We start from the raw sequence: 14509 nt of genomic DNA, 5'->3' as shown, positions 1-14509 counted from the left end.
TTTATGAGGCCAGCATCATCCTGATACCAAAGCCGGGCAGAGACACAACCAAAAAAGAGAATTTTAGACCAATATCCTTGATGAACATTGATGCAAAAATCCTCAATAAAATACTGGCAAACCGAATCCAGCATCACATCAAAAAGCTTATCTACCATGATCAAGTGGGCTTCATCCCTGGGATGCAAGGCTGGTTCAATATACGCAAATCAAGAAATGTAATCCAGCATATAAACAGAACCAAAGACAAAAACCACATGATTATCTCAATAGATGCAGAAAAGGCCTTTGACAAAATTCAACAACCCTTCATGCTAAAAACTCTCAATAAATTAGGCATTGATGGGACGTATCTCAAAATAATAAGAGCTATCTATGACAAACCCACAGCCAATATCATACTGAATGGGCAAAAACTGGAAGCATTCCCTTTGAAAACTGGCACAAGACAGGGATGCCCTCTCTCACCACTCCTATTCAACATAGTGTTGGAAGTTCTGGCCAGGGCAATTAGGCAGGAGAAGGAAATAAAGGGTATTCAATTAGGAAAAGAGGAAGTCAAATTGTCCCTGTTTGCAGACGACATGATTGTATATCTAGAAAACCCCATTGTCTCAGCCCAAAATCTCCTTAAGCTGATAAGCAACTTCAGCAAAGTCTCAGGATACAAAATCAATGTACAAAAATCACAAGCATTCTTATACACCAATAACAGACAAACAGCCAAATCATGAGTGAACTCCCATTCACAATTGCTTCAAAGAGAATAAAATACCTAGGAATCCAACTTACAAGGGATGTGAAGGACCTCTTCAAGGAGAACTACAAACAACTGCTCAATGAAATAAAAGAGGGTACAAACAAATGGAAGAACATTCCATGCTCATGGGTAGGAAGAATCAGTATCGTTAAAATGGCCACACTGCCCAAGGTAATTTATAGATTCAATGCCATCCCCATCAAGCTACCAATGACTTTCTTCACAGAATTGGAAAAAACTACTTTAAAGTTCATATGGAACCAAAAAAGAGCCCACATCACCAAGTCAGTCCTAAGCCAAAAGAACAAAGCTGGAGGCATCACGCTACCTGACTTCAAACTATACTGCAAGGCTACAGTAACCAAAACAGCATGTTACTGGTACCAAAACAGAGATATAGATCAATGGAACACAACAGAGCCCTCAGAAATAACGCCACATATCTACAACTATCTGATCTTTGACAAACCTGAGAAAAACAAGCAATGGGGAAAGGATTCCCTATTTAATAAATGGTGCTGGGAAAACTGGCTAGCCATATGGAGAAAGCTGAAACTGGATCCCTTCCTTACACCTTATATAAAAATTAATTCAAGATGGATTAAAGACTTAAACGTTAGACCTAAAACCATAAAAACCCTAGAAGAAAACCTAGGCATTACCATTCAGGACATAGGCATGGGCAAGGACTTCATGTCTAAAACACCAAAAGCAATGGCAATAAAAGCCAAAATTGACAAATGGGATCTAATTAAACTAAAGAGCTTCTGCACAGCAAAAGAAACTACCATCAGAGTGAACAGGCAACCTACAAAATGGGAGAAAATTTTCGCAACCTACTCATCTGACAAAGGGCTAATATCCAGAATCTACAATGAACTCAAACAAGTTTACAAGAAAAAAACAAACAACCCCATCAAAAAGTGGGCAAAGGACATGAACAGACACTTCTCAAAAGAAGACATTTATGCAGCCAAAAAACACATGAAAAAATGCTCACCATCACTGGCCATCAGAGAAATGCAAATGAAAACCACAATGAGATACCACCTTACACCAGTTAGAATGGCAATCATTAAAAAGTCAGGAAACAACAGGTGCTGGAGAGGATGTGGAGAAATAGGAACACTTTTACACTGTTGGTGGGACTGTAAACTAGTTCAACCATTGTGGAAGTCAGTGTGGCGATTCCTCAGGGATCTAGAACTAGAAATACCATTTGACCCAGCCATCCCATTACTGGGTATATACCCAAAGGACTATAAGTCATGCTGCTATAAAGACACATGCACACGTATGTTTATTGCGGCACTATTCACAATAGCAAAGACTTGGAACCAACCCAAATGTCCAACAATGATAGACTGGATTAAGAAAATGTGGCACATATACACCATGGAATACTATGCAGCCATAAAAAATGATGAGTTCATGTCCTTTGTAGGGACATGGACGAAATTGGAAATCATCATTCACAGTAAACTATCGCAAGAACAAAAAAACCAAACACCGCATATTCTCACTCATAGGTGGGAATTGAACAATGAGAACATATGGACACAGGAAGGGGAACATCACACTCTGGGGACTGTTGTGGGTGGGGGGAGGGGGGAGGGACAGCTTTAGGGGACATACCTAATGCTAAATGACGAGTTAATGGGTGCAGCACACCAGCATGGCACATGTATACATATGTAACTAACCTGCACATTGTGCACATGTACCCTAAAACTTAAAGTATAATAATAATAAAATTTTTAAAAAAGGAAAAAAAAAAGAAAGTCAGTTTTGCTAGATATATAGTCCTTGGCATGCATTTTCTTTCTTTGAGTATCTTAAATATGTTCTCATATTTTTTTCTAATATTAAACATTGCTATTAAAAACACTGATAAAATCTAATTTTCTTTCCTTGTAAGTCACTTGTTCTTTTCCTAGATCCCAAAGGTTTGCTTGTAGTCTAAATATTTTCCAGAATATGTCTGTTGTTCATTGTTCTGGGTCAGTATTCTCAAGTGTACACTGTGTTCTTTTAGTGTGTAGTTTCGTGTCTCTTCATTTTAGCAATTATAGTATTTAGTAATTGAATATTATGAGTGTTAATTATTATTCTCACTTGGTTTTCTGTGATGCCACATAAGATTCCCTTATGTGGCATCTTGCTTATCTGTCTTCAACATTTGTTAGGTTCTTTTGAATTGTTTAAATCTCTTCATTTCTTTTTGGTATTTTTTATTAATCTACTCTTGTGTTTCTATTACAGGTTGAGTGTCCCTTATGTGAAATACTTGGGACCAAAGTGTTTCAGACTTCAGACTTTTTCCGATTTTGGAATATTGCTGATTGAGCATCCCAAATCCAAAATCCAAAGTAATCCAGTGAGCATTTCCTTTAAGCGTCATGTTTGCCTCAAAAAGCTGCAGATTTTAGACCATTTCTGACTTCAGGTTTTCAGATTTGGGATGGTCAACATGTAGTTTAGTCTTCATTTCCAAAATGATGTTTTCTTTTATTTCTAATTCTTTATTGAGTTTTGTCACCTCATTTATAAGCTTTGCTGGTTTTTCATGTATGTACCTCTTTCACGTTTGTATAACTTTTAAATCTTTTTAGCTTATTTGAAATTCTGGTGTATTGTTGGCATGCTTTCACTCTCTATATGACATTGTATTTCTAATTTGTAACAGCTCTTTTTATTCTCTTAATCTTTTATTTTGTAGCAATCTCTTCTCATTTCTTAGCTATACTATCTTATTTTTCTAACGATAGTAAGGACAAGCTGTTCTTAAAGTTTTCTTCTACCTGCCTAATTTATTTCTTCTAATTTCCCTGCCTGCTCCTCTGCCCCCACTTGAGGCCTTTATTATTTTAGAGACTTTTCTCAAATTTATGGTAGTCCTTGGCTATTGGCTCATGTTTAAGAGTTGAACGATTAAAAAAACTAATTAGAAAGTCTATGTGCCATGGGTAGGACTTGTTCACTTCCACACTTTACCATAAAGTAATCTGATTGAGCTGTTTCTTTGTGGAATCCTCTGCGTTAGAATCTTTTCATTAATTTTTTTTCTTTGAGGCTGATCGGATTCTTCAGAGAAGATTCTTTCAGCCCCCTACCCTGAGGGGAATAAGCTTACTCATAGTGCTTTGGCAGCCAAATGAGGAGAGGAACATTGTTCCTCTGTAAATTTTTGTTTAGGAAGGCTGTCTCAGTTGATGGTTTCCCGTAGTCCAGACTTTCATTTTTACTCCCTCCAGAGAACAACCTCTGGTAGCATACCTGAGAGGAGAAGGGACATCTGCTGAGCTATATGGAAGGAATGAGGAGATCTGGAAGGTTCTAAGTATCTCGTCTCTTTTTTCAACAGTTCCTCTTGTTTTTAGGTTGATTCAACTTCCTGATACACCTGTTGTTTTCAGTTGCCATATTTTTTGTGGGTTCTGCAGTAGAAATTAAACGTTTGCATTGAACTTTCCTGGGCCTATGAAGTCAGTTATCATTTGTCTGTCTACTTTCTAAAATGCCTTGCTATTGTCTCTTCTCTCATTCTCTTTGTCTTAAGGGTGTGTGTGTGAGAGTGTGTGTGTGTGTGTGTGTGTGTGTGTGTGTGTGTGTGTGTGTGTGTGTGAGAAGCCCTGTTCAGTGTTGTTTCAGGAGAGAGAGGAGAGGCTAATGGCATGCATTCATTTCACCCCAGTACTTGGACCTGTATTGTACAGTGAATGTCAGGGAAGTTACTCTTCAGGTCTCCTGATTCTTTTGGAGCAAATGATAAAACGTTTTTCTGTTGACACATTTTGGGCGACATAGCAAGACCATGTCTCTATTTTTTTTTTTTTTTTAAAAAAAGAAATGGCTGAGCACGGTGGCTCATGCCTGTAATCCCAGCACTTTGGGAGGCCGAGTTGGGCCTATCACAAGGTCAGGAGATTGAGACCATCATGGCCAACATGGTGAAACCCCATCTCTACTAAAAATACAAAAATTAGCCGGGCATGGTGGTGGGCGCCTGTAATCCCAGCTACTTAGGAGGCTGAGGCAGGAGATTCGCTTGAACCCGGGAGGTGGAGGTTGCAGTGAGCCGAGATGGCGCCATAGCACTCCAGCCTGGTGACACAGTGAGACTCTGTCTCAAAAAAAGTAAAAATAAAAACAGAGAAATGGTCATAAAGGAATCCTATGAACAATTATATGCCAGTAAATTAAACCATTTGGATCAAATGGACAAATTACTAGAAAGGAATGCTGTAGAACATGAAGAAATGTTCACCTGGTAGTTGACATTGTGATCCATTTGCAGGCTGTTACCTTCTCCTCTCAAGGATGCAGTGGAAGTCTCAACCTGGAGAAGATGCTATACAATGCAAGAGGTGAACTCTGCCCTTAGTAAAATCCAGCTGGTGGGATATTCTCAGAAAATTGTGAGTATTCATATTACATTTCAGTTATTCATGAATGCTTTCCATTCATATTGTTGTTTGTTGTTTGGAAGAATCCTATAGTTACGTTTTTAAAGCCATTCCATTGCTGAGGATCCAGAGCCTCTGTTCTTTCCTCCGTTCCGCGCAGGATTTTATTGGTGCTCTTTCCCCACCCTCACATCTCCATCACCAGCCAGCATTCGATTGGCCAGCGTGCAGGGAGTCCGGAGAAAGGCGTCTCATCCTGTTCACATTAGATTTTATAGATTTTGGATGGGTGAAACGGGAAGAGAGAAGAGTTTGTCAAGTGTGACTTTTGAGCTCTGACCTAAATGATAAGCCTTCCCATTTCTTACTGTCATCCTGTGCCCAGAGCTACTCAGTACCGAACAACAAGGGCCTAACACCTAACTGAAAATGAAAAAGGAAAGCCAAAGTGTGTGAGTCTTTGGTCTGTTTGGTAATATTTCATCTCTCCCTTTTAATGTGTGAACCTTGAGTGCCTGGGGACATGGAAGAGAGCTGAAGCTCTCAGGTGACAAGTAAATATTATAGGATTGCTTTCTTTGTCTGCCAGTTGATCTCCATCATCTTTCTGTTTTCCTTAAAACTTTCTAGTTTACTTTATTGATTGATTGACTGAGACAAGGTCCCACTTTGTTACTCAGGCTGGAGCGCAGTGGTACAAACATGGCTCACTGCAGCCTCAACTTCCCGGGCTCCAGTGATCCTCCTGCCCCAAGTAGCTGCTTGAGGACTACAGGCATGTGCCACCATGCCCAGCTAATTTTTGTATTTTTTTGTAGAGACAGGGTTTCACCATGTTGCCCAGGCTGGTCTTGAACTCCTGGCCTCAGCCTCCCAAAGTGCTGGGATTACAGGCGTGAGCCATTGCACCCAGTCTCTGGTTTACTTTAAAATAATTTTTGTTTTTAAACTGAGGATATTTCTGTTGTTTTTCCCTGCAGAATTACCTCATGTGACTGTCACTGTAAGCTCATTGCACATTCTTACTGTGGTTCTCTTTTAGGAGCTTTTTGGTGCGGTCCAGGTGACTCCTCTGAGCTCTGGCTATGCCCTTGGGAGCTCCAACTGGATCATCCAGTCTCATTACGAGAAAGTGTCTTATGTCTCTGGATCCTCCTTGCTTACCACACACCCCCAGGTAATTCCAAATTCTCTTCTAGCAACTCAGCTTTTTGGTTACTTAAGTCAAATTCAGAATGTATCCAAGGAACCATCAGCCATTTTTAAATCTTCCAAATATGGTTTTCTACAGATACTCTCTAGCCAAGGTAGACTATTTGAGTCTCAACATTTTGACCTACAGGTTTCTCTGAAATAGTCCTGCTACCTTGAGGGTCACTCCTAGGATTCTGAAATCCCCCAGGCCTTCCAAAGACCATAGCCTGATGTGGGACACAGATGGTTATGCATTTACTCAGCAAATATTAACTGTTTAAAATCCTTCCCAAGGGCCAAGTGTCAAGTGTCATGCACACATCTGGGTATTGGGGATTCAGTGGTGACCAACGGGCAAAGCATGTGCCCGTAGATCTTATGTTGTAGGGGAGTTGATGATGTTGGGGAGAGGATGGTGTATAGTAGGTAAACAAATAAAGTGCCTGGTCATTTCCGATTGAGATACAAGTACTGAAAACAGTAAAGCAGGGTGATTTTCAGAATGATGGCCATTGGTTTAGATTGGGTGCCCAGGAAAGCCAATGGGAAGATCTCACTTGAACTGAGACCTGGAGAGATAAACCATGTCGGCTGGGCGCGGTGGCTCATACCTGTAATCCCATCATTTTGGGAGGCCGAAATGGGATAACTGCTTGAGCCTAGGAGTTCAGGACCGGCCTGGGCAATATGGCAAAACTCTGTCTCTACAAAAAATACAAAAATTACCCGGGTGTGGTGGCACACGCTGTGGTCCCAGCTACTCAGGAAGCTAAGGCAGAAGGATCGCTTGAGCCTGGGAAGCGGAGGTTGCAGTCAGCCGAGATTGCGCCACCGTACTCCAGTGCGGGTAACAGAGTGAGATTATGCCTCAAGAAAAAAAAAAAAAGGCCGGGTATGGTGGCTCATGCCTGTAATCCCAGCACTTTGGGAAGCCAAGGCGAGTGGATCACTTTAGGTCAGGAGTTCAAGACCAACCTGGCCAACATGGTGAAACCCCATCTCTACTAAAAATACAAAAATTAGGTGTGATGGTGTGCACCTATAATCCCAGCTACTTGGGAGGCTGAGGCGGGAGAATCACTTGAACTCGGGAGACAGAGGTTGCAGTGAGCTGAGATCATGCTGCTGTACCCAGCCTGGGTGACAGAGTGAGACTCCATCTCAACAAAAAAAAAAAAAAAGAGAGAGAAAGAAAAAAGAAAAACAGAGAAATTAGCCACGTAAAGCCGTGAGTGTTTGTATTACAAAGGGATGGCCAGTGAAGGGCCCCTAAAGTAAGAATAAGCTGGGCATGTTTGAAGGGCAGAGAAGGCTATTGTGGTCACAGCGTGGAGGTCAGCAGTGAGGTCCAAGAGAGTGGCAGACACCATGTCATGTAGTGTTAGCAGGCTGTGAGGAGGAATTTTGGTTTTATTTTAATATGGAGAGGGAAACTATTGGAACGTTTTAAGTTATTCATTCCAGTCATATTTGGCAAGAAGCCTAGCACATATAAACATTGTTATGAATGTGATACTTACTCCTTTTTGGTATTTGTAAATAATTTACTGTTCATTTCCTGAATGTTGGTTATTTCTATGTTTGTAATAGGGAGTGGGGGGACATTAGTTAGCTGTTGAATGGGTATATAGATACATTAGGTAACTTGTGGAAGTCCATATTACATTTGTTTATCTACATCTATTTACGGAGAGAGAGAGAGAGAGAGAAGGTCTTGTTCTGTCACCCGGACTGGAGTACAGTGGTGTAGTCATAGCTCACTGTAATCTCAAACTCCTGGGCTCAAGCAGTCCTCCCAAGTAGCTAGGACTATAGCCACCACACCTGGCCTATTTATTTTTTAACATAACCTCAAATTTTTATTGTCTTCATAATAAAACCAAAAATGAAGCTAAGAACTGGATCACTTGGCCTTTTCTCCTTTTATCCCTTCCCAGTTAAAAATACTTGTATCTCTAGTAGCCAGCATTCTCCTAGATCTGCAGTTGGGCCCAACACTTAAGCTTTAGCACAATCTCGTTTGTAGTTTTAGCCTTTTTCCAGAAGATTGGCTTGGTCTGCCTACATAGCCACCCCTTCCTGCCATTAAGCCACTTTCCCTTGGCATACAGATCATCTTTTCCCTTCTTGTACCATGTCACTCTGTGGGGTTGGTGCCAACCATGCTTCTTACACAAAGTCCAGTGGGTTTGAAGAACATTCACCATGTTAGAGCACTATCAGTAAAGAAAGAAAGAAATTATTCATTTTTTAATTACAAATAAAAATTGTATATATTTATGGTATGCATGATGTCTTGATATGTGCATGCATTATGGAATGGCTAAGTCAATAATTAACAGACCCCATTTTAATACAGGGAGAACCATGCTGTGCTCTAGTGTTGAACAATAGGATGTCTGAGCTGCCATTCTGTATTATTTCTTTATACCTTCTTTTATAGCCAAGTTTCATCTCAAGGTCTAGAGGGGACGTTGCTATTTTTTCCTGCATCTGGCGGAATTCTGGGCCCTTCCTGGTTATTGAAATCAAAAGCCCATCAATGTCACCATCATCTGCTTCATTGAATCAAAATTTTTTATTGGCAGCTTCTATCGTTCCTGATATGTTCTTCCATAAAAGACAGAAAGATGACTTGGTTGCCAACTCTCGCGATTTGTCCTGCTTAGTTCAAAGCCTTTACAGTACTATTGATGTAATTTCCAGTAAATTATTCTTACAAGGTCCATAAATTTAAAGGGAAAATAATGTCTTGAAAGTAATGAGCAACATACCTAAGTAATTAATTTTAATTTTTAGCTGGCAACCTGTGTTATATGTAAAAAAGAAAAAAATTAGATTTTTCTCTACCCACGTAATTGGATTGTGTATTGAATTGGCAGGGATGAGAAAAGTTTTGGTTTGAAAAACTTGATAGACTAATGCAGATGTTAGCAAACTGTGGCCTGGGCACTAAATGTAGCATGCCACCTATTTTGGCATATAATATTTTGTTGAAGTACAGCCACACCCACTTGTTTATGGAATGTTTATGGCTGAATATACACCGTAGGCTGGACAAGGTGGCTCATGCCTGTAATCACAGCATTTTGGGAGGCCAAGGCAAGATGATTGCTTGAGCCCAGGAATTGGAGACCAGCCTGGGCAACATGGCAAGATCCCATCTCTACGAAAAGTTAAAATAAAATAAAAAAAAGCCAGGTGCGGTGGCATGCGCCTGTGGTCCCAGCTACTCGGGAGGCTGAGGCATGAGGATTTCTTCAGCCTGGGAGGTTGAGGCTGCAGTGAGCCATGTTTGTGCCATTGTACTCTAGCCTGGGCAACAGAGCAAGACCCTGTCTCAAAAAAAAAAAAAAAGTTATAATGGCAGAATTCTACTTTAAATGTTAGAGCAAACTTTGCTAACCCCTGGTCTACTTGAGTACAATCTTTACTAACTAGGAAGAATATCACAGGCTGCTGTAGAATTCTGATAAACATGGGGAAATAAGGCTTTGGATTAAGCCTGAGGCAGTAAGAATGGAGAAAAGAGTTAAAACATTGGCGGGTCTTTAATGCAAGAAACATTTGTTGAATGCCCACTGTCTTCAGAAAAGAAAGAATAAAAGTTACAGATCTTATGTCTGCATGACATTGAGAATGGTGTTAATGGCCATTCCAGTTAACAAGGAAGAGTTGGCAGAGGGACATTTGTTGCAGAAGAGGGTAGTAGGTTTCATGAATGTGAATTTGAGAGAACATTAGACAGATGTAAATATGGGGCTGGAACTGGGATGTGGAGGCAAGTCTGGAGACAAACTGGAGAGTTGTCACGTTTTAAAAATCTAACCGGGCACGGTGGCACACACCTGTAATCCTAGCACTTTGGGAGACCAAGGCAGGCAGATCACAAGGTCAGGAGTTCAAGACCCCAACATGGTGAAACCCCATCTCTACTAAAAATACAAAAATTAACCGGTGTGATGGTGCTCACCTGTAATCCCAAATACTCGGGAGGCTGAGGCAGGAGAATCGCTTGAACCCAGGAGGTGGAGGTTGCAGTGAGCCGAGATCGCACTATTACACTTCAGCCAGGGCAACAGAGAGAGACTCCGTCTCAAAAAAAAAAAAAAAAAATCTAAATAAAGGGCTGAGGGCCAAAGACTGATCCATAGGGAACTTTTACCAACAGACAGTGGAAGAAAGAAAAATAGTCTTGTGTAAGAATGGATGGAGAGTTAAAGGAAAATTGAGGCCAAAGAGTGCAACCTCCCAAAGGGAGAAGGAAGAGAACTAGCCTTTACTGAGCATGAGGTCTCAGTATTAATTTTTTAATTGATTTGATATTTAGCAACCATGCTGAATTCTCTTAATTCTAATAATCTATTGATATTATCTTGCAAAGAAGTAACAGTTTTCTCACCTCTCTTCTAACCTTTGTATCTTTTATTTTTCTTATCTTGTGACTGAGCCCTATAATACTACGTTGCACAGCAATGATGATAGTGGACATCCTTGTCTTGTATAAGGCTGTAAAAGGAAAGCTTTTGTAGTTTCTTCGTTAAACATCACGCTTACTGCACCATGTTTATTTGTCAAGTTAAGGAGTGTCTCCTTTATCCCCAACTTTCTGATTTTTTAAAAGTCAGATATAAGTGTTATACCTTATCAAATGCTTTTGAGCATGTGAGATCAACTTTGATTTCTCTCCTTTGAGACCATTAATGTAGTGAACTGCAGTGTTAGCTTTTCTCACATTTAACCATCCAATATTCCTGGGATAAATCTTGCTTGATTACAATCTATTCTTTTTAAAATACTCTCCAGGAATGAGTTGGTGAATATTTTATTGAAGTTTATAATCTATAGTCATAGGTGAAAAATGGGCCCATACATTATTTTCTTGTACTACCTTTGTTTGTTGGAAGCCAAGGTGTATTAGTCTCATAAGGTGATTTGGGAGCCTTTCCCTCTTTTTCTAATGTCAGAAAAAAGTATATGAGATAGGGATTATCTTTTCCTGAAAGTTTGGTCAAATGTTCCATAAAACTGTCTGGACCTGGATTACCATTATTGAACTATATTTTCTGGGCCAAAATTGTGCCAGAATTTTGGCAGAGATTTGTCCTTTTTGCTTAGGTTTTCAAAATCATAGGCATAGAGCTATTTATAATCCTCTTTTATTTGTTTAACCTTTTTTGTGTAAGTCTGTTTTCATTCTAAATTTTATTTTCATCATCATCTTGATCAGACTTGCCAGAAGTTTGTCTGTATTATTGATTTTATTCAAAAAATAAGTTTTTGCTTTTAATCGTTTTGGTTGTATTTTCATCCTTTGTTCTGCCCTTTATCTCCTTCCTTCCTTCTTTACTTTGGATTTACTCTGTTTAATACTTGCTAAGTGTGTTTCAGTGTTTGCTTTTCGATAAATGTATTTAAAGCAACCGGTTTCTTAGTATAATTTTACTCTGTTACATTTTTGATACTCAGTGCTTTGTCATTCATCTCTAAGTATGTCATAATTTTCTCTATAATGTTCATGATTTAAATAACCAAAGGTTATTTTACAGTATAATTGTTTGTTTCTAGTCCATCCAGTCTGATTAGACATAGGATTAGAGGAAATGTTTTTAAGCATATGTTTCAGGATTCTAATCTTTTGCATTATAATAAACATATCCTGATGGACTGAAATTTGATTAGTCTTCCTTTGAAGCACAATCTATTTTTGTAAATGTTCTACGTGTCTTGGAAAAGAATGTGTATTCACTGTTGGGTAAAATATTTCTATATGTATTTGAGTTTTTTGCATTATTCAAGTCTTATATCTTTGCTTAGCTACTGATTTCTGAAAAGGGTGTGTTAGTTGTTGATTTATCTGTTTCTCACTGTAGTTTGCCAATTTTTACTTTTTTAATATTTCTAAGCTGTATACTCAGGAGTCCATATATTCATGATCATTGTGTTTTATCAATCAGTTATTCTTTTTATCAGGATGCTTCGATGCTTTCTTTTTTTCTCTATAAAAACTGCATTAAAAGCTAAGAGGCTTTTTCCCATTTCATATGTGCCTGGTTTTTTTTGTTTTGTTTTGTTTTTTTGAGACAAGGTCTTGCTCTGTCGCTCAGGCTAGAGCACAATGGTGCAATCTCAACTCACTGCAGCCTCTGCCTCCGCAGTTCAAGCAGTCCTCCCACCTCAGCCTCCCAAGTAGCTGGGACTACAGGCACATGTCACCGTGCCTGGCTAATTTTTGTTTTTTTTGTAGAGACAGGATCTTCCTATATTGCCCAGGCTGGTCTCAAACTCCTGGCCTCAAGCGATCGGTCCACCTTTGGCCTCCCAAAGTGCTGGGATTACAGGCATGAGCCACCGTGCTTGGCCGGGATTTTTTTTTTAATCTAGTGTCTCTTGGTTGGTGAGCCTGTTTGTGTTTCTTGTGATGACTATTGTAGTTTTACCATCTTCTTTCATGTTTTTAGTTCATTCTTTTCCTAGTCCTTTCTTGCCTTCCTTTAGAAGTGTAAATTTCCTTCTGTATATGTGAAAATGCACATTTTATTTTTATTCTTCTGAGTTATTTCTTAGTTTATTTTTTCTGTGACTATCTTACTTATCAGTATCTGTATCTTTCCTCCCAAAGCCACACTGTCCTCATCTCCCCTATCTCCCCTCATCTCTTCCTTTGCACATCATACCCTATGATGACCATGGTGAAACCATCTAGAATTTTAGTTCTGGGTCGTTTAGAACATACATAATACGGTGGTGAATATATTCCTTACTGCAACAACAGTGATCTTCATTGAGATATATTGTAAGTTTTTCAACCTTACTTTCCATAAACAGGATCTCATAACATCCTGCTAGATTGACTTTTCTTCTTCCAGGAATGCTTGAGGAATGGGAATCTAGAGGGTCTTGAAGTGGTAAGCCTGTGAGGCCTTGAATTATTAAGAATGTCTTTAATTTTTTTCTCACATTTAAATGATAGCTTGGATGGATTAAAAATCAAAGGCAAAAAACTTCGATAGGATAAAGCTTTGGAAATATGACTTCATTTTCCACTTGTATCGCTTGTTGTCATTAAGAACCCTGAAGCCATTTAGATTTGCGTTCCATTATATGGGATCTGCTTTTAGAATTTTCACTTTAATATTTGTAAGTTTTAAAATTATTTCTCTTCAATGTGTGTTTTTCCTGTGAATGTAGTATCTGTGAGATCTTCCAATTTCCTTTAACTTAAATAAATTCTTAGTCATATTTTAAATTACTTACTCCTGGTTGATTTTCTTTTCCTTTTAAGGAATTTCTAGTATTATAGATACTGACACTTCTGTGTATTGCATGTCTTTTTTCTTGTGTATTTCCCACCTACTTCATGAAGCCTCCTGGAAAAAATCTTCCAGCCCCTGAATTCATTCTCAGCTGTATTCATGCTGCTCCTCAGCCTATCTATTGAACTCTTCATTTCCACAACTATACTTTTGTTCACAGTATTTCTAGGTGTTTCTCTTTATACCTGCTCATTTTAATTGCCCTCTGTGTATTTTTGGGACATTTTAATACATATATTCCTACTCTCTGGTTCACTAATTCTCCCTGTGGGGATAGATTTTAGCTCACCATGTTTAGTAGATGCTGCCTTCCTTGGTGTTCTTGTTTGATTCCCTGTGAGCTCTTCTTGCTTGACCCTCAGGGACCCTCCTCTCATACCACTGCTTCAGGCATTGTTTCTCCTGAGTGTCTCCCTGACTTGTCACCACTTTGCCCTTGTGGTGTGAGGGAACAAGCAAGGAGTGGCTTGGTGTTCTGTGAACCTTCATCCCACTGTTCTGGCATTTCCTTCCTCATGCAGGGGGGCGGGGGGTATTGAACCTTCCACAATCTGCCAACTGTAATACGGAGGAAAGAAAAAAGGACAAAGGGTTTTTACCCAGCCTCTCCTCCACCCGCAGTAGAGGCGATTGCCTGCCATTTTGTCCTCATTGCAAGACCCCTAGTTTCCCCAGGAATTTATCCCAGTTTTGATTTAGTTTCTCAAATTTGTCAGCTGCCCTTGCTTCTGAGCGTCTCTGTCCTCTCAGTTTAGATTCTGGGAGTGTGGCAGAGCATATTGGCTCATGCCTGTAATCCCAACACCTTGGGAGGCCAAGGTGGGAGGATTGCT

At 39.6% G+C, this 14509-nt stretch overlaps 1 protein-coding gene and 1 pseudogene across 15 annotated transcripts in view; one reads left to right on the top strand and one right to left on the bottom strand.

Moving 5' to 3' along the window:
* INTS9 (integrator complex subunit 9) overlaps positions 1 to 14509 on the top strand; it is a 122309-nt gene that overhangs the window by 71300 nt on the left and 36500 nt on the right. For 10 of the 15 annotated variants that reach the window (NR_026826.3, NM_001145159.3, XM_011544573.2 and 7 more), the window contains 2 exons: positions 5058 to 5178; positions 6209 to 6343. Coding sequence is in view for 14 of the 15 variants with exons in the window: in NM_001145159.3 (NP_001138631.1) it covers positions 5058 to 5178; positions 6209 to 6343 (256 nt within the window). In the remaining variant the exon portion in view is untranslated. The remainder of the gene's footprint in view (positions 1 to 5057; positions 5179 to 6208; positions 6344 to 14509) is intronic. The other 5 variants (XM_047421958.1, XM_047421956.1, XM_047421955.1 and 2 more) reach the window with 1 other exon arrangement.
* On the bottom strand, positions 8256 to 8567 carry RPL36AP32 (ribosomal protein L36a pseudogene 32; annotated as a pseudogene).

This window comes from Homo sapiens, chromosome 8 (assembly GCF_000001405.40).
Source record: "Homo sapiens chromosome 8, GRCh38.p14 Primary Assembly".
Lineage (NCBI taxonomy): Eukaryota > Metazoa > Chordata > Mammalia > Primates > Hominidae > Homo > Homo sapiens.
This window is presented reverse-complemented; position numbering and strand designations above follow the sequence as displayed.